Source organism: Homo sapiens, chromosome 4 (assembly GCF_000001405.40).
Source record: "Homo sapiens chromosome 4, GRCh38.p14 Primary Assembly".
Taxonomy (NCBI): domain Eukaryota; kingdom Metazoa; phylum Chordata; class Mammalia; order Primates; family Hominidae; genus Homo; species Homo sapiens.
Window position 1 is genome coordinate 70,019,383 of NC_000004.12, and position 25,878 is coordinate 70,045,260.

The 25,878-nt window shown below is 36.8% G+C and overlaps 1 protein-coding gene across 1 annotated transcript; it reads left to right on the top strand.

Annotated features, from left to right (window-relative positions):
* On the top strand, nucleotides 9,077–17,156 carry HTN3 (histatin 3). Its single transcript, NM_000200.3, has 6 exons — nucleotides 9,077–9,134; nucleotides 11,346–11,409; nucleotides 12,597–12,617; nucleotides 12,696–12,725; nucleotides 13,785–13,871; nucleotides 16,885–17,156. Exons 2-5 carry the CDS (start codon nucleotides 11,359–11,361, stop codon nucleotides 13,836–13,838), a joined length of 156 nt encoding a protein of 51 aa, NP_000191.1. The 5' UTR covers nucleotides 9,077–9,134; nucleotides 11,346–11,358; the 3' UTR covers nucleotides 13,839–13,871; nucleotides 16,885–17,156.

The window sequence follows — 25,878 nt, forward strand, 5'->3', positions numbered from 1 at the left end:
CAGTATTTATGTGGAAGTGACCCGATTTTCCAGGTGCCATCTGTCACCACTTTCTTTGACTAGGAAAGGGAACTCCCTGACCCCTTGCGCTTCCTGAGTGAGGCAATGCCTCGCCCTGCTTCGGCTCATGCATGGTGCGTGCACCCACTGACCTGCACCCACTGTCTGCCACTCCCCAGTGAGATGAACCCGGTACCTCAGATGGAAATGCAGAAGTCACCCGTCTTCTGCATCGCTCACGCTGGGAGATGTAAACCGGAGCTGTTCCTATTTGGCCATCTTGGCTCCTCCCCCCAAACAATTACTTTAAATGGCAGCAAGAATGTTTCTCACTTACTGTTCTGGAGGGATAGGTGCTTTCCCACAAGGTATTTATGTAACCATTATACAATTTTGTTGAAGCATGCATTATTATAGCCAAAGAAATCAACATTGAACAGGATTAAGTTTGTTACCCAATGTCATACATTTAGTAAATTAGTAGGGAAAAAATACCTGTATTTAGGTTTATTAGATTTCAAAAGCCAAGCCGAGTATCATATTCCGTATATGTAGCCACACTACTCACTGCCTCCATTAGTTTCCTATTGATGCTGTAACAAATTACCAGAAACAACAAAATTGTTTTATCTCACAATTCTGGAGGTCAGAAGTTCAAAATGTGTCCTGTTAGAATAAGATCAAAGTGTTAGCAGGACTGAATTCTTTTCTGGAGATGCCAAGGAAAATCCAGATATTCTCAACTTTTCTAGCTTCTAGAGGCTGCTTGTATTCTTTGGCTTATAGGCCCCTTCCTCCATGTTCAAAGCCAGCAATGGCCACTTGAGTCTTCTTATATTACATCACTCTGAACCCTCTGTCTTTCTCTTCCACGTATGAGGACTCTTGTGATTACATTGGGTCCACCTGAATAATCTCAACGTTGGTGATAAGCAAATTTAATTCCATCTGCAATCTTAATTTCCCTTTGCCATGTAAGCTAATGTATTCCAAGATTCCTGGAATGAGAATGAGGACATATTTGAGGGGTGGGAAGGTATTGGTTTGCCTACAACACACCCTTAGGATGTAATCAGCTTCTGACTATTAGACGTTAGAAATACCCTGCACTCAAAGGTAAGGCCTGAAAAAAACAATAAATTGATAATTCAAGTAGACATAAAATGACTATTTTCAAGAACTGGTAAAGAATTGGTACATTCCGTGCACAGAAAATTTATCTATGCATTAAGGACACTTTTGGTTCTAATATTTTATGATTCCTTAAATATTACTTTGAATGAGAACAAAAGACATTGAAAGAAAGTAAATACAAGCTGAGGTCAAAAGAACTGTTCAATATTCATGATGCTTATGCAATACTTCAATTTGGTATCTAATTTTCTGAAGTATAATTAAACATGAAATTACAGTCATAAGAAAGATAGCTGTATATAAAGATAAATTATACATTTCCACAATGAATGATCATCAAAGTTTCCTCTTCTCAACTATATGTTATATAATCCTAATCATTATCATTAATATTGAGTACCTTAATTGAAGACAAGTTTGACTCAGCAGTAATTCACTTTATAGGTGACCAATTATTCTGTCTGTCACAGACAGCATTAGAATATGAAAATGGAAGAAATAAAATTTCAGTTTCCAAATATTATGGAATCTAAAAAATGATTTTGTGAACTTTTAAGTTGGAGCCAAATCCATTACTTTCAGAAATTCTACGTAAGCTGTAAAAAATCCATTTTCTATATAATAGCTCCTTAAAGAAGAGAGCAAAGCAGTTAAAAAATTCCAATTGAATATCCTGCTGACATTAATGATATGGCAAACAGCCTGAACTTGATCCTCTAGGCATTCGATAATAGTTAATAAAATTTAATCAAGAAAGGATATATTGAAAATATTATTTGGGAAAATAAATATGAATAAAGTGTGTAGGCTATATTTAAGTGGGAGAAAAATAGAATAATAATTGAAAAACTAGCCATATGTAGAAAGCTGAAACTGGATCCCTTCCTTACAACTTAAGCTGAAACTGGATCCCTTCCTTACAACTTCTACAAAAATTAATTCAAGATGGATTAAAGACTTAAATGTTAGACCTAAAACCATAAAAACCCTAGAAGAAAACCTAGGCAATACCATTCAGGACACAGGCATGGGGAAGGACTTCATGTCTAAAACACCAAAAGCAATGGCAACAAAAGCCAAAATTGACAAATAGGATCTAATTAAACTAAAGAACTTCTGCACAGCAAAAGAAACTACCATCAGAGTGAACAGGCAACCTACAAAATGGGAGAAAATTTTCGCCACCTACTCATCTGACAAAGGGCTAATATCCAGAATCTACAATGAACTCAAACAAATTTACAAGAAAAAAACAAACAGCCCCATCAACAAGTGGGTAAAAGATATGAACAGACACTTCTCAAAAGAAGACATTTATGCAGCCAAAAGACACATGAAAAAATGCTCATCATCACTGGCCATCAGAGAAATGCAAATCAAAACCACAATGAGATACCATCTCACACCAGTTAGAATGGCAATCATTAAAAAGTCAGGAAACAACAGGTGCTGGAGAGGATGTGGAGAAATAGGAACACTTTTACACTGTTGGTGGGACTGTAAACTAGTTCAACCATTGTGGAAGTCAGTGTGGCGATTCCTCAGGGATCTAGAACTAGAAATACCATTTGACCCAGCCATCACATGACTGGATATATATCCAAAGGATTATAAATCATGCTGCTATAAAGACACATGCACACATATGTTTATTGTGGCACCATTCACAATAGCAAAGACTTGGAACCAAGCCAAATGTCCAACAATGATAGACTGGATTAAGAAAATGTGGCACGTATACACCATGGAATACTATGAAGCCATAAAAAATGATGAGTTCATGTCCTTTGTAGGGACATGGATGAAATTGGAAACCATCATTCTCAGCAAACTATCGCAAGGACAGAAAACCAAACACCACATGTTCTCACTCATAGGTGGGAATTGAACAATGAGAACACATGGACACAGGAAGGGGAACATCACACACCAGGGCCTGTTGTGGGGTGAGGGGAGGGGGGAGGGATATCATTAGGAGATATACCTAATGTTAAACGACGAGTTAATGGGTGCAGCACACCAACATGGCACATGTATACATATGTAACAAACCTGCAGGTTGTGCACATGTACCCTAAAACTTAAAGTATAATAAATAAAAAAAGTAAAACTTAAGAGAAATTTAAATTTAACTTGCAGATGCTTAATGATAATTTGTATTTATTCTGACACCCATTTAACAAGTATTTAATTATCTATTCTATGTAAAATATTATTTTGAGCCCTGCGTTATATTAACTTAAATGATCTATAAATAGTTATTCTGTGCCAGGAAGAATATAAATGTTTTTACAGGAGTTGGCTGAATTATCCAAAAGACAAAACAAAATACAAGAAAGAGTATGACTTAGTGTATTTTCTCTGTTTCAAGATACCCGCCTTCCTAATGGATGTTTGATTGGATAGTTGCAATTTCAAACCATTAAGCTGTTTGCAGTGCTGTTTCTGAGTAACAGAAATCCATTATTTTGATAAATGCAAAATATTTTCAGCATATTCTTCTGTGAAAATTCTTTATTTCTATTTTTTATATTTACAGATATAACTATTCCTTTCATCATTTCTTTTACCCAGTTTGAGTACCACTGACTGAAACACTTTATGTCAGAGCTCCTTTAGAGTCAGTTATTCCTAATTTAGTCTGTCATATTTTACATTTCCCAAGCATATAATCTTTAAGCTCAGCTAGATTATTGGGCCTATTTATCTAACATTTGATTGGCTCCTGGTTTCCTTTGGTACAGCAAATTTTGTCAGCCTCGAAGGTCCTCACATTTTTTATCTCAGTTTCTACAAGACAGAAAATAACCCCCATTGTCACTGCACAGTAATGGGAACACAGAACTCAAACCATCTAATGCCCTCCATCAGTTTGTCAGCAATTACTTTCATTCAACAAATACTTATTGAGTGATGCTAGCTGTCAGGCCTCTTCTGGATGCTAGAGACACAGCAAGGTATAAGACAGATGAAAGCCTGCCTATGGGGAGTTTACATGGCTGTTTGGAAATACAAACAAGTACAAAATTAATAGGTAATATCTTAGGCGATAAGTGTACTGAAGAAGTATAAGGTAGGGCTAAGGCATAGATGACATTTTAAATGGAATAGTCAAGAACAGCCTCTTTGATATAGTGACATTTTAGAAGAGATATGAACTAATTATAGAAAGAATATGAGGAAAGAAATTCTCCAGCAGAAGGAATAGCAAATGTCAATCTATTGTGGTAGAAATATGTTTGTTGTATTTGGGGAAACTTCAAGGAGATTAATATGAACAGAGAGAGCAAAAAGTGAATCAAAATAAATTAGGTCACAGAAAAAGGGCATGCAGATAATTCAAGCTCTGTAGGTCAAGCATAGCCTTTGAATTGAGATGGATGCCATTGGATGAGTACATGATCTGATTTATATTTTGGAAGTGAGACAAAGGTTGAAGCATAGATACCTGTACTTTGACCTTACAGAAAACTGTAGAGCCTTGATATTCATATGTTGATTTATTGTCTGTTCATTCTTTATTGTATTTCATTTTCTTCCAACCCAGGACTTCATCTTCATCATTCAATACCTAATAATATAACTGAGACAACAATAATGAATTCTGGGTTTTAGAATCTCCTTTCACTAAAATCTCAATCCTAGTAATTGATAAATTTTCCTACACCGCACCTTTACCAAGAAAACTCAAATCTACACGAAAAAAAAAGGTTCTTTTTTGTTTTCTAAGTGTGGAGTACAACATTGCTTAGCAACTATTTTTCTTTTATTTAGTTTTATACTCTTATCCTTTCCTTCCAACAAAATGTCCAAATATATTACTCGTATTCTGAAGCATCCAATTCATCTCACCCACTAATTAATTCCAGAAAAAAAAAACTCTAGCTATTTTGAAAAGAAAAAATTAAGCCCATTTTGCATAACCTCTTTAAACTTCCCTATAAATTACTACACACTTAATCAAATTTCTAACTTTCTCCAACATCTCGATCCTTGAGGTGATTCTCAGGTTTTTCAAAAATATTTTCTTACAGTTATCTGTTTTGCATTTCCTCCTCTATTCTTAAAGAAGTTTTAAAATTAAGATATTCTTTCCAATGAAGATTTTTATGGTAAAACTATAATGATATAACCTCCTGTTTGCATTTGGGGCATTTTTATTTAAAATGTATTTTTATATATTCTCATTTAGTTAAATTTTAACTATTATTATAATACCTTAAATATAAGAAAAATTTTGTTAGAGAAACTCAGCAACTGCCAAGTTCACAACAACATTTGTTTATGGAAATGATTTCCTTCTTGATGGTTCATCCTCTTGGCTTCTGCAACATACAAACTGCTTAGAAATACATCTCTTCTCTGCTCATCTATTTTATCACAAATATTTTAATGAGCTTTCTATTGTCTTCCACATATTACATCAGGTTATCTCTCCTCAGCCTAGTTTCTTCTGATTCTATGCATCCTTCCTGTATGATCTATTCTAATTTCAGAGTCTTGATTATAATCAATCAGCTTATAAATCCCCAATCATCTGCAGCTCCAGTGTGGCTCTTCATTTTCCAATTTTAGTCTCACGTAATTAGTCCTCTCCTGAATTTCTCTATCTCTTTGTCTATTAATGTTTTCTGACTCTCAAATTATATGAAAATCTCCTTAAGAGTAGGAGTAAAGCTAGTCAAATGGTATCTCCAGAATAAAGGAAATTTTATCTCATAGAGTAGAGAGTCACATGTTGTTCCATATAGGTCAATAGCAGTATTTTTCATTTTAGTTGTTCAAACAGGATTATAACGTAAGATTTTTTAGTTAAATAAATAAACATCATAGATTTTGGTCACATAGCTCTGGTCCATACTTTCATCACAGGTGATTTGGAGAACATGGAGGAGCAGGAGGAGGAGGAGAAGCAGAAAATGGAGGAAGAGAAGCACAAACAAGAAGAGGAGAAAGAGGAGGAGGGGGAGAGGCAAAAGAAAGTGAAGAAGGAGGATAAAAACCCAGCATAAATATCACTATAAAAACCCATTCATGGATTGTATCCATAAGCAACCAGTGTATTGCCACAACTGTGATAAGACAGTGGCTCTTTGTTGATACTTCCCTTGTAATTGAAAGGCATGGCCTTTCCAAAGAACATGATGTTTGCTTATAGAAGACAAGATATCTGTTTTACTTAATTATAAAATATGAAGCCATGTTCTGGTCCATCAGTCTTCTAAAATGGCCTACTGTTTCTGGAGGGTGAGACCATAACTAGCATGAGAAGGTCACTACTGTATTTCTATGCCACTATGCTTGTTCCACCTGTCATACATAATCCCCACACTTCCTAACTTGGAGAAGCAGAAAATCATGGGTGAAATAATGCCTACATTTTGGTGTTCCAACATAAAATGTATATGCCTTAGGTTTAATTGTAGTTTTTAAATGAGTATATTGACATCTGCCAGTATATCTTACTTGTTAGTTTGCTGTCTGGTAGTGCTTTTGGACTATTAGTTTTCTTTTTGTGCACTAGAACACGGATATCTTAGATCCACTGGAAGTGCACCTAATATTGTTAGAAAAACAAACTAGGGAAGAAAACACCACAGGGAAGAAATGAGAGGAGATGGAAAAGAAAACAAAGAAAGGAAACCATTTGACATTTAGCAATTAATTAAAGCAGGGTATATTTTTTTAAAATCAGACATAGTTCAATAGTTACTGAACCATGAGATGGTGCAGTGGCTCATGCCTGTAATCCCAGCACTCTGGAAGGCCTAGGCATGAGGACCACTTGAGATCAAAAGTTCAAGAACTGTGCTGACAACATTGTGAGACCCCCATCTCTACAAAAAATAATTAAAAAAAAATTAGTCAGGAGCAGTGGTGCATATCTGTAGCTCTAGCTATTTAGGAGTCTGAGGGGCGGTTCAATTGAGCGCTGTAGTTCCAGACTTCAGTAAGCTATGAGTGCGCCACTGCACTCAAGCCTGGGTGATGAATGCAGACTATGTATCTATAAAAAAAATAGTCACTGACTCCTATGTAATTCTTTTTCATTGAGAATGTAAAGAGAATGGCTTTGTTTTGCCCCAGAGAAGAGACCTTGTATCTCTGATGTTTAGAAATTTCATGCCAAAAGAACAAGAATAATAATATAATTTACTTGAATTATATATTTGTGAGTTATGGTCTCACTCTCCAAGAACAATAGGCCATTTTAGAAGACTGATGGACCAGAACATAGCTTTATATTTTATAATTAAGTAAAACAGTTATCTTGTCCTCTACAAGCAAGCGTCATGTTCTTTGAAAAGGCCATGCCTTTCAATTACAAGGGAAATATCAATAGCTACTGCCTTATCACAGTTGTGGCAATACACTGGTATGTGAATTATATATTATATATAAATTACATGTGCCTAATAATATTAGGTACAATAACATATATTGTTGTATATTACCTAGAGAATAACCATAATTTCCAATGGGACTGTTCAAATTAGCATAAAACATTTACCTAATAAATATTTCCTTTAAAAACCACACAAATTCATTTTATTTTATTTTATTATTTTACTTTAAGTTCTAGGATACATGTGCAGAATATGCAGGTTTTTTGCACAGGTAAACGTGTGCTATGGTGGTTTGCTGTATCTATTAAGCCGTCGTCTGGATTTTAAGCCCCGCATGCATTAGCTATTTGCCCTGAGGCTCTCCCTCCCTCCCCAGCCACCAGCCCTGATGTGTGTTGTTCCCTTTCCTGTATCAGACTCAAATTAAAAACATAATCTCTATTAGTGGGATCAATCTAAAGACAATGCGTTTACAAATCTGTTATATAGTTTTTCAAACTCTAAAGTACACAAATAATGTTCTGGACATGTTCTTAAAATTCAGGTTCCAGGTGTACACCCCAAGATTCTGACTCAGTAATTTTGGAAAAGTAGACTAAGAATTTGCATTTCAACAGGTATGAGCTGATGCTGATTGTGATGGTAGTATGTGGGACATCCTGAGGAACAATGGACTGAGCTGTACAACTTATCTGAACTTAGAAGTTAGTTTTTAATACTCGGTTCTTAGCACATTGAATTAAACAACCGGTAGTGAGTAGGTGATCTTTTATACATGTTTGTCTATTAATTTAATTAAAATTCTATTTTTCTCTTTCTGTCTAGTGTACTTATTTCAATAAATGACCTCTGTGAAGATATATGGGCCCCTGAAAACTCCAGGGAAGTAAATTCAAATTTCTAAACATAAGAAATCAGTTTTATGTGAGAGATATGTGACCAAGCACCTAGAAACGTTTGACATTAAATATGAGAATACTTTTATCATATGGCATCCAAAAGATGACTGAATTTTGGCCAATGTTTACATTCATTTTATTACTTAAAATATTCTAAGTCAATGTAAGCAGGTAAAAATACAAGATAAATGATGATTTGTAGGAAAACTTTTGAAGTGTAGAATGACTCCAATTTTATTATGCCAATTATCACTATTTACTAGAGAACGTGTAAAATTTTTCATAACATGGTAAGTATTATTTTTGACATAGCGTTGTTCCATCTTGGACATATATTTGTTGAAAAGTAGTAGATGGTATTCTACAGAAACATCTTTATCACTGCAATCATTTCTATGCCTGGTTTCCTCCAGCGTGCTTTTCCGTTGTCTGACTCACTCAGGGCTAGACTAACACTGGGATTAGCATGTGATGGGTCCATTCGCTTTCCGGTTGCCTTGTCTTCACAATGATCTATTGCAGAATCACCTGGTTAAGTTTATTTTTAGAATTTGTAGAGACAGATTTTGGGCATTACTTTCCGTCTCGATCATATGATCTCATAATTGATGTTATTTTGAAAAACAAAAGGGAGATTTCAAAAAACAAAAGGGAGATTTCAACGTGTTTAAATACATCAGCCATCTAGGAAAGGACATCTCTTGAGACTTCACTTCAGCTTCACTGACTTCTGGATTCTCCTCTTGAGTAAAAGGTAACATGTTCAAGTACAATCTAATATTATATATTAGCATAAGCTTTTGTTTGCTAAAATCAATAGTAACCCACTTATGAAAATGTATATTATCTATGATAATTTCTTATAAAGAAATAATTACCATTTATTGGCATCTGAAGATGACTTCTAGATCTCAATTCCTATGAATTAACACCAGCAATCATCATGCAAAGTAACTAATGTGGAATATGGCAATGTATTACATCCTCGCTGATGGTGGGACCTCAATGAACTCTTTTTATTTCCTTGCCTAGATACCTGATATCTACTTTCTTATTACTTTTATATTAAACTTAATGTAGAAGTTCACATTTTACAAGATACTGATAGATTCTGTCTTGCAAATTCATTATTATAAAAATTTATTTTTTAATTTACTTTCCTCTTAGTCGTAAACTATTTTATTACTTTTTCATTGGCCTTTCCATCATTAAAAACAGTTCTGTTATAAATCAAAATATATACTGTATAACAATTAGTCTTCTCAATCTTACTAATTTATTTAACTCATTTTCATTCATTTGTGTTATGGCAGAAAAGACAGTTTATTATTCCAAATTTTTATTATTGATTTACTCGGGAAATATGTTTTTCAAAACTATTAATTATACATTGATTATCTATGTTCATTTATCATTTTATCTGTTAGTAAAAGAAGGGCACTTTCTTACAGCCTTTTTTGATTTTCTATTTGCAACACAATTGACAGTCACAAACAACGGTAAAATTGTCTTTTTATATCATAAAAAGAGTCATAATTTGATTTATCTATTAGGTAATAGAAAAACTTCAAGAAATATATAATTTTTATAGTTAGTCCTATACAAGAAGTTTCCATTTAAATGAGTGAAGCAAAATGAATGAAGAAATAATAAGGCAAATGGGTTCTGCTTTCTGTGATAGAGATGTAGGGCTGTTTAAGAGTAGGACATTTTTATTATAATTAGATGAAAAACGTTACTGTAATGTTCTATCACAAGTGACAGGTAAGAGAGATTAGAAAAATTTTTTAAAATATTATCTATTAATGAATTACTTTATAGCTAGCAACTAACAAATAAAAATGCCATGTAATTCTAAGTTTTGTGGTAATTGTATTTTCCAGTGGAAATGCTTTTATTTACATGTTTGTAATTTAGAAATAAGTAATCCGCTTTACTTTTTTATATCAGCCGAAGAACTGGATTCACTTGCATATGCATAATTATAAAAACATATCAGAGTCCCAGATGAGGCTTTGAATAATATTATTTGAAATATTGAATAATCTTCACCAGTTCAACTTCTCAAAGTAGATACAATCATTTTCCCTGTGACTTCTCTTCATTTTATTTTTCTCTAACCAATACCATTAATGTTCTAATCTCAAGGTTGCACCATCTGTGCTATTCTTTAATAGAAATCTGGCTCATATTCACTGACTTTATTATAAAGAAAGTCCCCATTACTTGCCATTCTACTTTCTAAATATGTCTTTACACTGTACTTTAATTAGCATTCTTAATGTCATTATCTAAATCCCTTGTAATGTCACAACAACCTAAGTGGTCATCTTTTCTCCAGTTTTGTCCTCCCTACATGCTAAACTGTTTGAACTTTCAACATGCTTTCCTCTCTGTTGTATTTCATTGCAGTCTCCCAACACCTCCCTTTACTCATTCCATATAATCCAACTCAAGCTTGCCTTTCTTTGTTATCTTCTTACTCCCATTATCTTGGTCTATTTAAGATGTCCATTTGTGTGTTTCCTTAGCATATTAATAATTCCAAATTAGAGCACTCACCTTTATTTATCAATTAATGAAGCTATGCCCTGGGCTCACACCGAAGATCCAAGCATTTTGAAAGGCCAAGGCAGGAAGATTCCTAGAGCCCAGGAGTTTCAGAACAGTCTGGGCAATATAGTGAGACTAAAAATATTCTCTACCAAAAGAAAAACAAATTAGCTTGTCATGGTGTCACACACTTGTAGTTCCACCTACAAGTGGAACTAGGGAGGCTAAAGTGGGAGGATGGCTTGAGCCCAGGTGGTCCAGGATGCAGTGATCTGTGCTCATGCCCCTGCACTCCAGCCTGGAAAACAGAGCATGTCTCCCAATGCTTTGAAGCATAGTGTCATCAGTAGAAGTTTGATGAATGAATGCATGAAAGAATGTGATTACTGATTTTTCATGTTTGATTTTATAGGACTCAGCCAACTATGAAGTTTTTTGTTTTTGCTTTAATCTTGGCTCTCATGCTTTCCATGACTGTAAGTATATCTGGAAGTTTTAAAGGATACATTCTCAGTACTTATCCCAAGGATCTTTCTTATTCCTTACGTTCTGCCATATATTCATGTTCACCTCAATACAGCTTTAATATTTCTATGTAAAGATTTTCCTTGAATTAACCTATATAAGTTCTTAAAGGACTTAGAATAAATATTCATTACATACCTGCGAACACTCAAGTACAATTACTTGAATATAAAAATAAAAGAAAATTAAGCAAGCTTCATAAATATGTGGGACTGAGAACTGTGAAAATATCTTTAAATATTAAAAGCTCTAGACCACCTGAAGTTAGAAATCTGAGGAAAGAACAAGGTACACTTCAATGGAACCTAAGTATTAGAGGGTGTCAAAATATGAATTTTCAAGTAATTTCTTGCACAACCAAACTGTTCAAGTTAGCATACAATTTATTTTACTCTTTCTAAAATAAAGCTGCCTATTTTAAGCCATAAAACAAATCTATATCTGTTAAGTGTCATGAGTTCCCAGCTTGTATCGTCATTTACTACTGTGTAATAGTAGAAAAGGCACTTGACCTCTCTGGAGCTCTTTCTCCTTCTCTACTTTCTCATCCTCTTCCCACTCCTCCTCTTCTTTCTATGAAGTTAATAGAAAATTGGTCACAAAAGAATACTAATACTTCAACCTATCCACTAAATTCAAATGAATGTTTCAAAAACAAAATTGGTTATGGCATCACAGTTTATCACATGATTTTATTATAGAAGGATAGAAGTAGAAAAATAAACATATAAGAAGAACAGAGAAAAGCACAATGCCTGTCTCTATCAGCAAATAAAATATTTGTATGTTGGTAGCTTTTGAGCTACATAGAACATATTCATATAAAAAACAATCCAATGTTTCATTTTTCAGTTTCCACTCTCTTATTCACCAATGATAGACTTTTCTTGCCTTTCATAAAAAAGATATATAAACCAAAATGAGTTGATACTTTAATATAGCATATTAATTATAGAGAAGTTTACCCTTCACTCATTTTAAAGATGTCATAAAGCTAAAATAACTAATTTAGCATGTCATCATCCAAAGAATGCCTCCATTCTATTTAATCATAAATGTGGCTAAGTCAATTTTTACACATATTCTTGAATTATGAAATTAAGATATTAATTATTTTCTCATTTTCTTCTTTTCCAAGGGAGCTGATTCACATGCAAAGGTAAGACATTTTCATTTACTGGAAAACTTGATAATTAATCATATATTGAATTTTTAATCTTTTCTTTTTATTTCATAGAGACATCATGGGTATAAAAGAAAATTCCATGTAAGTGTTCTTCTGATAATGTGCACTCTGAATAAGTTTTCTTCTCTGACTATTTATTCTCCTAGAATAATTGATAGTTATCTCTCAAATATATTTATATCATTAATTGCTAAAGTGTACATTGATTTCATTTATTCTTGTTACAGAGGTAAAAGGTCACAAAAATCTTGTGTTCTAACAGCATTTCAACGGAAACTCAATTACACTCTGAATAAGTCAATTTTCAATTATTCTTTGAGAGCTTAAGTATCTTTCTCTTATAAATAATTACATTGACCTAAAGAATAGTTCCTAATTCTATGAATAATTCCTAATTCTATGAAGTATAACATATGCCTAATGAAGCATAGAGGCTACCCATGTAATGTGGTTTCTATCTTATAATATTTGAGGATGATAAAGTCTTTAAATTAAACTTACTGTGCTAAATTAGACAGAAAATTTTATTTAACATTTTTCTAAATGTATGTATAAAAATATCATATTATTTTGACCTCTAATATCAGTATGAATAGGGGTTCAAAAGTTCTGCTTACTAATATAGCAAGTATATGTGTTAAAAAAGCACTAAGTAAAATGATGCATAAAAAGGAATGAGGACTGTTTGTGTTAACAGCAGTGGGTATGAAAGAATGTAGGAGTTGTAAGAGAAAGTAAGCTCATTAAAAGAATAAGATGAAGAAACACCACCTAAGTTGGAAACGGTAACTTTCTCCTCCCCGTTATACTCAATGTTGGGCAAAATAGTAACTTGGAGGTAATGTTGTTAAGAAGATTTAAAACCTGTTTGGAGAGGTTGCCTATAATCAGTGTTCCAACATTTATTATTGCCACAAAAATATCAACACACAGTAAATACTTTATCATTTTTACTTGCTTTTAAACATTTTTCTGAAAGAAGAAAAATGTAACTAAAAATTTGAAAACATTTATGTAGATAACACACGAGGTCATAACAACTTTAACAATCTAAGCTTTCAGTGACAGTTTTTGTGAAGCATTTTTACTGTCATTGCCTCTATTCTCTGCAATTTGCTCTCTCCTTTTGTGTGTATGCAGGAAAAGCATCATTCACATCGAGGCTATAGATCAAATTATCTGTATGACAATTGATATCTTCAGTAATCACGGGGCATGATTATGGAGGTAAGCTGACTCTAGTTACTTTTCTTTCTAGAAGTATCAACACTGACAGTTAAAACAAGGAAAAATTAAAAAAAAGCCATTAAGCCAACAATCATTCCAGTTTAAGAAATGTAGCGTGGGTTAGCTCTTTGAAGTGTGTTGATTTATATAGATGCTTCTGACTTTGTAGATATGTGGTGTTATTTCTGAGGTCTCTGTTCTGTTCCATTGGTCTATATGTCTGTTTTGGTACCGGTACCATGCTGTTTTGGTAACCGTAGCCTTGTAGGGTAGTTTGAAGTCAAGTAGTGTGATGCCTTCAGCTTTGTTCCTTTTGCTTACAATTGTCTTGTGTATATGAGCTCTTCTGTAGATAATTATGAAATTTAAGTACTTATTTCTAATCCTGTGAAAAATGTCAATGGTAGTTTGATGAGAATAGCATTGAATCTATAAATTACTTTGGGCAGTAAGGCCATTTTCATGAAATTGATTCTTCTTATCCATGAGAATGGAATGTTTTTCCATTTGTTTGCATCTTCTCTTATTTCCTTGAGCAGTGATTTTTGGTTCTCCTTGAAGAGGTCCTTCACATCCTTTGTTAGTTGTATTTCTAGGTATTTTATTATCTTTGTTGCAATTGTGAATGGGAGTTCATTCATGATGCAGGTCTCTGCTTGCTATCTGATCTACGACAATCCTGACAAAAACAAGCAATGGGAAAAGGATCTCCTAGTCAATAAATGGTACTGGGAAAACTGGCTAGCCATATACAGAAAACTGAAACTGGACCCCTTCCTTACACCTTATACAAAAATTAACTCAAGATGGATTGAAAATTAAATGAAAAACCCAAAACCAAAAAAAGACCCTAGAAGAAAACCTAGGTGATATCATTCGGGACATAGGCATGGACAAAGACTTCATGAAGAAAATGCCAAAAGCAATGGCAACAAAAGCCAAAATTCACAAATGGGATCTAATTAAACTAAAGAGCTTCTGCACAACAAAAGAAACTATCATCAGAGTGAACAGGTAACTTAGAGATTGGGAGAAAATTTTTGCAGTCTACCCATCTGACAAAGGTGTAGTGTCCAGAGTCTACAAGGAACTTAAACAAATTTACAAGACAAAAACAAAAAACCCGTCTAAAAGTGGACAAAGGATATGAACAGACACTTCTCAGAAGAAGACATTTATGTGGCCAACAAACATGAAAATAGCTCAACATCACAATCATTAGAGAAATGCAAATCAAAACCACAGTAAGATACCATCTCACACCAGTTAGAATTGTGATTACTAAAAAGTCAAGAAACGATAGATGATGGCTAGGTTGTGGAGAGATAGGAACACTTTTTCACTGGTGGTGAGAATGCACATTAGTTCAACCATTGTGGAAAACTATGGATTCCTCAAGGATCTAGAACCAGAAATACCATTTGACCTAGCAATCCCGTTACTGGGTATATACCCAAAAGAATATAAAGCATTCTACTATAAAGACATATGCCTAGATATGTTTATTGCAGCACTATTTACAATAGCAAAGACATGGAACAACCCAAATGCCCATCAATGATAGACTGGATAAAGAAAATGTGGTACGTATACACCATGGAACACTATGCGGTCATTAAAAGGAATGAGATCCTGTCCTTTGCAGGGAAATGGATAAAGCTGGAAGCCATCATCCTCAGAAAACTAAAACAGGAACAGAAAACCAAACAGCACATGCTTCACTCATAAGTGGGAGCTGAACAATGAGAACACATCAGGGAGGGGAACAACACACACCAGGGATGGGGGGTAGGAGGTGACAGAAGGTAACATAGAGGGCTGATCAATAGTGCAGCAAACCACCATGGCACATGTATACCTATGAAACAATCCTGCACATTCTGCACATGTATCCCTGAACTTAAATTAAAATAAATCATAAAATAAAATAAAAATGCCTCTGAGGGAAAGCTTCTGTTTGCTACTGTTAAGAGACAGAGTTCTGGGTAGGGGAACCCCTGTGTTTTTATCCTGACCCTGACAACTAGTTTCATGACCTTAAAGTATTCCTAATCTTCTCTTAACCTTAATTTTATAAGAGACAAATACATGTTATAATAATACTTAAGCTCTTTATAGAATTTGTAGGGCTATTGAGAGACATTATAGGGAAGCCCTTGTTCTGGAAGGTGTATGGTTGTGGCCATGGGTTTCTCTGCCACTAAATCTGTACCTGGTTGTTATTTGAAGTTTTCTGTCCTAAAATGTAATCTTTGGAGAAGCTGCACAACCGCCATCTGGGAACTCATGAGAAATTTACGTTTTATGCCTAAGTAACTCTAATGAGCAATGGCTATAGGAATGACTAATAAAATATCAACAAGGAGATGGGAATTTTCAAGGAAATATGATATGGTAACAATGTCCTTTTTAGAAAGTCATTTTTACTTATCTATATTCACAGCATAAAATGTTCCAAAATCTATGAAATATTAAATATTATACTTCAAAATAAAGTAATATTTTGGAGATAAAAGAGTACTGTTCTACAATTCAAAATTGAAATAGTTCAAAAGATTTCAAATATTTTTAAATGTATTGGGACATTTTATTCATATTGAATTCCTGCTCTTCGTGATATTAGAAAAGGCCTGATCTTGATCCTCCAGGTGTTAGATAATTGCTGATGACATTTAATCAGGGGAGGATATAGGTAAAATATTATTTGAGGGAGATAGATGAAATGTGTAGGCTATATTTAAGTGAGAGAATAAAATAAGATGATGATGGAAAACCTCAAGAAAAATTTAAATTTAAATTGCAGATGCTGAATGATAATTTTTATTTATTCTGATACCCACTTAATGAGTATTTAATTGTTTAATTGTCTACTCTGTCTCAAATATTATTTTGGTCCCTGCATTATAATAAATAAAACTATCTATAAATAAATACTTTGTACCAGGAAAAGTATAAATTTATTTACAGGAATATCAATTTGGGCGATAAAGTGTTATTTTCTTTTTCTTCATAGGTTTGACTGGCAAATTCGCTTTGGACTCGTGTATTCTCATTTGTCATACCGCATCACACTACCACTGCTTTTTGAAGAATTATCATAAGGCAATGCAGAATAAAAGAAATACCATGATTTAGTGAATTCTGTGTTTCAGGATACTTCCCTTCCTAATTATCATTTGATTAGATACTTGCAATTTAAATGTTAAGCTGTTTTCACTGCTGTTTCTGAGTAATAGAAATTCATTCCTCTCCAAAAGCAATAAAATTCAAGCACATTATTATGTGTATGCTCTTTATTTCTCTTTTTTATATTTACAAACATAAAGACTTACTTCTTCACTTTATTTTCCCAGTTCGAGTAGCACTGACTATAGTACTTTATACCATAGCTCTTTTGAAATGATTATTTTTAATTTAGCATGTTATATTCATTTTATCTTACAAACATATGGTCCTCAATCACATCTAGATTACTAGATATGATTTGTCTCTGGTGTCTTTTGCCACAGGACATTTCTTAGCCTTGAACATTCTCACATCAACTTATCTCAGGCCCTACAGGCCAGCAGATAACCCCTATGTCACTCCACAGCAGTAGGCAGGCACTCAGAACAAAAACCATCTAATGCTCTCTATCGGTTTGTCAATATATCCATCAAACAAGTTTATTGCCCCTCTCCCTCTCCCTCTCCCTCTCCACGGTCTCCCTCTCCCTCTCCCTCTCTCTCCACGGTCTCCCTCTGATGCCGAGCAGAGGCTGGACTGTGCTGCCGCCATCTCGGCTCACTGCAACCTCCCTGCGTGATTCTCCTGCCTCAGCCTGCGGAGTGCCTGGGATTGCCGGTGCGCGCCGCCATGCCTGACTGGTTTTTGTATTTTTTGGTGGAGACGGGGTTTCGTCGTGTTGGCCGGGCTGGTCTCCAGTTCCTGACCGTGAGTGGTCTGCCCGCCTCGGCCTCCCGTGGTGCCGGGATTGCAGACGGAGTCTCGCTCACTCAGTGCTCAATGTTGCCCAGGCTGGAGTGCAGTGGTGTGATCTCCGCTCGCTACAACCTCCACTTCCCAGCCGCCTGACTTGGCCTCCCAAAGTGCCATGATTGCAGCCTCTGCCCGGCCGCCACCCTGTCTGGGAAGTGAGGAGTGTCTCTGCCTTGCCGCCCATCGTCTGGGATGTGAGGAGCCCCTCTGCCCGGCTGCCCAGTCTGGGAAGTGAGGAGTGCCTCTTCCCGGCAGCCATCCTGTCTGGGAAGTGAGGAGCGTCTCTGCCCAGCCTCCCATCGTCTGAGATGTGGGGAGCGCCTCTGCCCCGCTGCCCCATCTGGGATGTGAGGAGCACCTCTGCCCGGCTGCGACCCCATCTGGGAGGTGAGGAGCGTCTCTGCCTGGCCACCCCGTCTGAGAAGTGAGGAGCCCCTCTGCCTGGCAGCGGCCCCGTCTGGGAAGTGAGGAGCTCCTCCGCCCGGCAGCCGCCCCATCTGGGAAATGAAGAGCGTCTCTGCCCAGCAGTCGCCCCGTCCAGGAGGTGGGGGGCAGCCCCCACCTGGCGAGCCGCCCCATCCAGGAGGGAGGTGGGGGGCAGCCCCTGCCGGGCAGCCGCCCCATCTGGGAGGTGGGGGGCACCTCTGCCCAGCTGCCCTGTCTGGGAAGTGAGGAGCCCCTCTGCCTGGCCACCACCCCGTCTGGGAGGTGTACCCAACAGCTCATTGAGAGCGGGCCATGGTGACGATGGTGGTTTTGTCGAATAGAGAAGGGGGAAATGTGGGGAAAAGAAAGAGAAATCAGATTGTTGCTGTGTCTGTGTAGAAAGAAGTAGACATAGGAGACTCCATTTTGTTCTGTACTAAGAAAAATTCTTCTGCCTTGGGATGCTGTTAATCTATAACCTTACCCCCAACCCCGTGCTCTCTGAAACGTGCTGTGTCCACTCAGGGTTAAATAGATTAAGGGCGGTGCAAGATGTGCTTTGTTACACAGATGCTTGAAGGCAGCATGCTTGTTAAGAGTCATCACCACTCCCTAATCTCAAGTACCCAGGGACACAAACACTGCAGAAGGCCACAGGGTCCTCTGCCTAGGAAAACCAGAGACCCTTGTTCACATGTTTATCTGCTGACCTTCCCTCCACTATTGTCCTATGACCCTGCCAAATCCCCCTCTCTGAGAAACACCCAAGAATGATCAATAAATACTAAAAAAAAAAAAAAAAAAAGTTTATTGAGTGATACCAACTGTCAGACACACTATTTTAGTTGTGCTCTTAGAGGTGTTTAAAATTGTCTCTGAGGACCTTTGCAATTTTGTGGGCTTAGTTGTAAAGTTACCTTTGTCATTTCTGTTTGTTCTTATTTGAATCTTGTCCTTTATTTCTTCTTTATTAACGTAGCTGGCAGTTTATTGATCTTATTTGTACTTCAAAAAACTGACTTTTGGTTTCATTGATTTCTTGTATGGTTTTTGGTTCCAAGTTTCATTTACTTCTCCCTCGAGATCTGCCTACATGTGGAGTAGAGAAGTCCTCACTGCACCATGACCTACTCACAGGAATGGCGGGGTGGCTTAGGCTGTTGATCCAGGCAAAACTGTGTTCTCAGTACCTGGAGATCTGCCTGAATGTGGAGAGGAAATGATCCCACTACACCACAATCTATGTCCATAAAGGGTGTGGTGGCTCAGACTAATGTTCCAGGCAAGTAGTGGCTCTAAAGGCCTGAATTTCTACCTGGGAGTAGAGCAGAGACGGCCCTACACACCACAGTCTTGGGGTAGCAGGAGAGGGCACCTAGTAATGACACATGCAGACTGGTTCTAGGTCAGCAATCTTGTACTTGCAGCATGTCTCATCACAAAAGAGAAACAACAGCTCTAGCAGCTCTCCTCTGCACCATGATTTTGAGGTGGCAAAAGCACAATTCTGGTGCCTAGTTTTCCAGTGCTTTCCATAATTCTGGCTATGAAGGTTCTTAACCCACTCCAGAGCAGGCAGTTTAAACTCTGGCCTGAGACTCAAAAGCCTGCATAGCCATGTTCCCAAGTCACCAAAGAATGGCTGACTTTGTATGCACCTGTATTAAAAATGGCATCCTGCCATCAGTCCTGGGTCTGTGAAAATGTCTGCAGATGTTCCCAGTGTCTTTCCTTCATAGTGTCTCATAGCCTCTCCCCAGGTTAGCTTCAAGGCTTGGAAGAAACAAAATGCTCTCCTTTGGGCTAGGTCGCTCAGATTCTCAGTGGAAAGGTGAGTCACAGAGGGAGATGCTCTGCATCTCTCACATACTGGGGCTTCACTCACTTCGGTCAGCTGAATGTTATCATGGGGTATGTTTGCACTTGTTCTCCTCTGCAGGACCTGAAGTGTCCTTCATGATTCCAATACAATCCCACTTTCCTCCTTGAATTAAAGCTCAGAGACATGATCTTTATGAACTATCTTACTACCTTCAAGTGGCAGAAGCATGTCAAAAGTCTCTACTCTGCAACCTGAAAAAAAAAAAGCAGGAAAAAAAAATCACAACTCGCTTTATTTTCTCTTTTTATTTTGTGTTTGTTTTGATTTTTATTATTTAAGTTCTGGGATACATTTGCAGAACATGCAGGTGTGTTACATAGGTATACACATGCCATGGTGGTTTGCTGCACCTGTCAACCCATTATCTACATTAGGTATTTCTCCTAATGCTATTCCTCCCCTCAGCCCCCACTCCACAACAGGCCCAGATGTGTGATGTTCCCCCTGCTGTTTCCATGTGTTCTCAGTGTTCAACTCCTGCTTATGAGTGAGAACATGTGGTGCTTGGTTTTCTGTTCCTGTGTTAGTTTGCTGAGAATGATGGTTTCCAGCTTCATCCATGTCCATATAATGGACATGAACTCATTCTTTTTCATGGCTGCATAGTATTCCATTGTGTATATCTGCCACATTTTCTTTATCCAATCTATCATTGATGGGCATTTTGGTTGGTTCCAAGTCTTTGCTATTGTGAATACTGCTGCAATAAACATACATGTGCACATGTCTTTATAGTAGAATGATTGATTGATAATCCTTTGGGTATATGCCCAGTAATGGGATTGCTGGTTCTAGATCCTTGAGGAATTGCCATACTGTTTTACACAATGGTCAAACTAATTTATTAATTACTAATTTATCTTTGTGGTGTTCTCTGTATTTCCTGAATTTGAATGTTGGCCTGCCTTGCCAGGTTAGGGGAGTTCTCCTGGATAATATCCTGAAGAGTGTTTTCTAACTTGGTTCCATTCTCCCCGTCACTTTCCGGTAAATGAATCAAAGGTATATTTGATCTTTTCACATAGTCCCATATTTCTTGGAGGCTTTGTTTGTTTCGTCTCACTCTTTTTTCTCTAATCTTGTCTTCTCACTTTATTTCATTAATTTGATCTTCAATCACTAATTTCCTTTCTTCCACTTGATCGAATCAACCATTGAAGCTTGTGCATGCATCACGAAGTTCTCGTGCCATGGTTTTCAGTTCCCTCAGGTCATTTAAGGTCTTCTCTACATAGTTTATTATAGCCATTCGTCTAACCTTTTTTCAAGGTTTTTACCTTCCTTGTGATGGGTTAGAACATGAAACTTTAGCTCGGAGAAGTTTGTTATTACCGACCTTCTGAAGCCTACTTGTCAACTCATCAAACTCATTCTCCATCCAGTTTTGTTCCCTTGCTGGCAAGGAGCTATGATCCTTTTGGAGGAGAAGGGGCACTCTGTTTTTTGGAATTTTCAGCTTTTCTGCTCTGATTTCTCCCCATCTTTGTGGTTTTATCTACCTTTGGTCTTTGATGTTGGTGACCTACAGATGGGGTTTTGGTGTGGATGACCTTTTTGTTGATGTTGATGGTATTCCTTTCTGTTTGTTAGTTTTCCTTCTAACAGTCGGACTCTTCAGCTGCAGGTCTGTTGGAGTTTGCTGGAGGTCCACTCCAGACCCTGTTTGCCTGGGTATCACGAGTGGAGGCTGCAGAACAGCAAATATTGCTGCCTGATCCTTCCTCTGGGAGCGTCGTCCCAGAGGGGCACCCACCTGTTTGAGGTGTCTGTCAGTCCATTCTGGGAGGTGTTACCCAGTCAGGCTACACGGGGGTCAGGGACCTGCTTGAGCAGGCAGTCTGTCCATTCTCAGGGCTCAAACACCATGCTCAGAGAACCAATGCTCTCTTCAGAGCTGTCAGACGGGGATGTTTAAGTCTGAAGAAGCTGTTTGCTGCCTTTTGTTCTAATATGTCGTGGCCCCAGAGGTGGAATCTATAGAAGCAGTAGGCCTTGCTGAGCTGTGGTGGGCTCTACCCAGTTCGTGCTTCCTGGCCTCTTTGTTTACACTGTGAGCTACTCAAGCCTCAGCAATGGTGGATGCCCTCTTCCTGCCAGGCAGCAGCCACGCAGGTAGATCTCAGACTGCTGCGCTAGCAGTGAGCAAGGCTCTGTGGGCATGGGACCCACCAAGCCAGGCATGGGAAGGTATCTCCTGGTCTGCCGGTTGCTAAGACTGTGGGAAAAGCACAGTATTTATTCAGGAGTGTACCATTTCTCCAGGTACAGTCAGTCACGGTTTCTCTTGGCTAGGAAAGGGAAATCCCACAACCCCTTATGCTTCCCGGGTGAGGCGACCCACCACCCTGCTTTGACTCACCCTCCATGGGCTGCACTCACTGTCCAACCAGTCCCAGTGAGATGAACCAGGTACCTCAGTTGGAAATGCAGAAATCACTCATCTTCTGTGTCGATCTCTCTGCGAGCTGCAGACCAGAGCTGTTTCTATTTGGCCATCTTGGAAGCCAGCCCACTACCAAAGTAATCTTACCAAAGATTACCAAAGTCATGTGAAATGAAAGGCATCTGAGTTAGCCTCTATTAGTCTGATAAGCACTGACTTTTCTTTAAGCCAATAGATAAAAACTCTTTCAAATAATTTGGTAGTGAGATACCACTTCCATGTGACACATTCAATTATATAAATATAACAGACATACAAAGGCAGGTCCAGAAGATTTTTCATTTGGCTGTTTTGAAAAAATTTGCTCCCTTACTTTAGATTATTAATAAAGAAATGTTACAGGAGCCAACAAAAGGTGAAGGAGAAAATTACCGTCTCTGGCCTTTTCAAATGAGAGAAAGCACCGAACTTCAGGGATATCAATCTGAAGAATTAGAAACAGAAACGTTTCTTGAGCAAACAGTCATATTATTTTAGAAGAAAAAATCACAATATAAGATTATTTCTCATATAAAATTAAATTTCTATTATCCTTTTTGTTTACCAAAGGTACCTTTTAATATGTATAACTTTCCTTACATTTCTCTTGTTTCCTTTTACTTCATTTTATATACCTCTAAATAATCTTTGAATTAGATAAAAAATGTTTACCTTTTAATAAAAAAAAACACTTTTTAACGTGTTTCTCTGTATTTTTTAAATTGGAAATTAGTCAGACATTTAATTAATATCTATTACTTAATATAACCTCAGATTATAAATTATATGACAACTTTAATATAATGGATTGAAGTGTCCTGATAGTGGGTACGTATCCACAGTGTTTCACCCCTAAGTTATTTCTGCCCTCTTACATGCCTTGTTTTCTCTCTTCAGAGGTCTGGCACCTCCAAGAAGGCTCAAAAGATGGAGTAACCAGCTCCCATATGCATTTACCTATGAGCCTTGTTTAACTACTTTTGTTGGGGGTTCCCTGCAGGGCTGCTGTACATCACAGGGGGTCAAACCCCCAGACACTTTCACTTGGCTTCTGGTCACCCAGGGGCAGCGTTTGCCTGGGAGGGGCAAAATGCCTTTTCTCTTCAGAGTGAGAAAACTCAGTCTCCCATTTATCTACGAAAACAACAGTTCAGTTCCTCGCACAAATGTGCAGACAAGACAATTGTGCTTAATTTGGGGAGAAAAAGCAGTAGAGAAGACCCTTTAGAATATACCTCTCTGAACCAGATACCAAACAGGTTGCCCAAAAAGGGGTCATTTTCCTTGTCTTTAGAAAAAGGCAATGGAAAAGATCCTTTAGAATGCACCTCTCAAATAGAATTAGAATCCTAAACAACTTCCTAGGAGGAAAAAAAAATGCAGCTCAGAACAAATCAAGGACCGGCAACCAAAGGGATGTTCAGGGCTCAGGAGGACTTGCCAGTTTCACTAGAGGAGAAGCTCAAAATCAGGGAGGCTTTCAATGGGCCCTTGCTTGTACCCTAGCTCCAAGTTTGGGCCACTCCTTCAGTGTTCTGACTCTTCTCTGAGGCCCCACATGTTCAGGCAACAAATTGTTGTTGACAAAAAGAATCAAACTCTGTAAAATATTTGAAGAGATTTATTCTGAGTCAAAAATGAGTGACCAATGGCCTTTGACACAGACCGTAGGAGATTCTGAGAACATGTCCCCAAAAATGGCTAGGGTACAGCTTAGTTTTATACATTTTAGGGAGACATGAGACATCAATCAAATCCATGTAAGATATATTATACAATGGATTTGTACAGATAGGTGGACACTTCAATTTGTCCACTAAGTTCTAAGGGATGTTTCAAGAAACAACCTATGTATGATATCAGAGTTTATCATATTATTTTTGTATAAAAGGATAGAAGTGAAAAAACTTTTATACTTGATCTTTAGTTATAAAATTAAGATACTAACTATTCTCTCATTTTTCATTTTTCCAAGAGAGCTGACGTATCTGAAGAGGTAAGTCACCTTCATTCACAGGAAAACTTAATAATCAAACACATATTGAATTTTTACTCTTGTCTTTATTTTCACAGAAATATCATGAGTGTAAAAGAAAATTCCTTTCAAGGATTCTCTTGATAATGTTGTGCAGTCCAAACAAGTGTTCTTTTCTGATTATTTAATCTCCTGGTATAATCTGTGATCATTTTTGAAATATATGTATATTATGAATGGCTAAAGTGTATATTAATTTCACTTACTCATGATACATTGGCAAAAGTCCCACATGTCTTAGAGAATTTAGGTGGAAGTTCATAATGCCAATTTAAAGAAGTCAATTATTCTCTGAGAACTAAAATAAATTTGGTAAATAATTATGTTGACATAAATAATAGTTAAAAGCCAATTCTACTAAGTATAATATATGCCTATACTGCCATATTACATGTGCTGGCAATCACACAGGTAATATGGGAAGTTCCAATCATTTGATTTGTTGATGGTGATAAAGTCTTTCAGTTAAACTGGCTATTCTAAATAAAATAGAATATAGTATTTCTTTAATATATTTCTTAATGTGTATCTTTGATATGTCATTATTGTTTGATCTCTCATCTTAATGTGATGGAGTTTAAAAAAATTCTTCTTAGTAATATAATAAATACATTGATAAAATGGCACTAAATAAAAACATAAACATTGGGGAAGGATAGTTATTTGGGTTAAGAGAAGGCAGAGTTAAAGAATGCAGTAGTGACATGGAGAAACTCCACTTAAGTTGGAAGTATTAAATTTTTCTTTCCCATAATACTCAATGATGGGCAAAGTAGTAGCTTAAAGGTAGTATTATAAAAAAAAAAGTTTTAATCCTCATTTGGAGTGGTTGCCTGTAATCAGTATTCCCATGTGTACTGTAAAACAAGAACTGGCAACAAAGAGTAAAAAGGTAAATGCTTTATGATTTTTACCTACTTTTACATATTTTTTTATAAAAATGATAAATCTAACTAGTAGTTTAAAAATGATATTGCAGTTGATATACGAATTGCAGTTGATACAACAAACTAAGCTTTTAAACACATTATTGTGAAACTCTTGCACTGTCACTGTCCCAATTATCTACAGCTTTCTCTAGTTCTTGTGTCTGTATGCAGGAAAGGTCTAACCAACATCAGCCATATCCAGACTATTGGCCATATCCAGCATATCCACCATATTACCTATATCCCTATCCATAGCCTTACAGTGTTCCTCAGTAACCACAGGACATAAGTATAAAAGTAGGCTAGGTCTAGTGATATTCTTTACTTTCCAAAAA

Bases quoted from the DNA above. Each gene is read 5' to 3' on its own strand.
- HTN3 (NM_000200.3), top strand. From the start codon at position 11,359: ATGAAGTTTTTTGTTTTTGCTTTAATCTTGGCTCTCATGCTTTCCATG. The intron at 12,618-12,695 runs GTAAGACATTTT...TTTATTTCATAG, and splicing joins GAGCTGATTCACATGCAAAG to AGACATCATGGGTATAAAAG. The intron at 12,726-13,784 runs GTAAGTGTTCTT...GTGTGTATGCAG, and splicing joins GGTATAAAAGAAAATTCCAT to GAAAAGCATCATTCACATCG.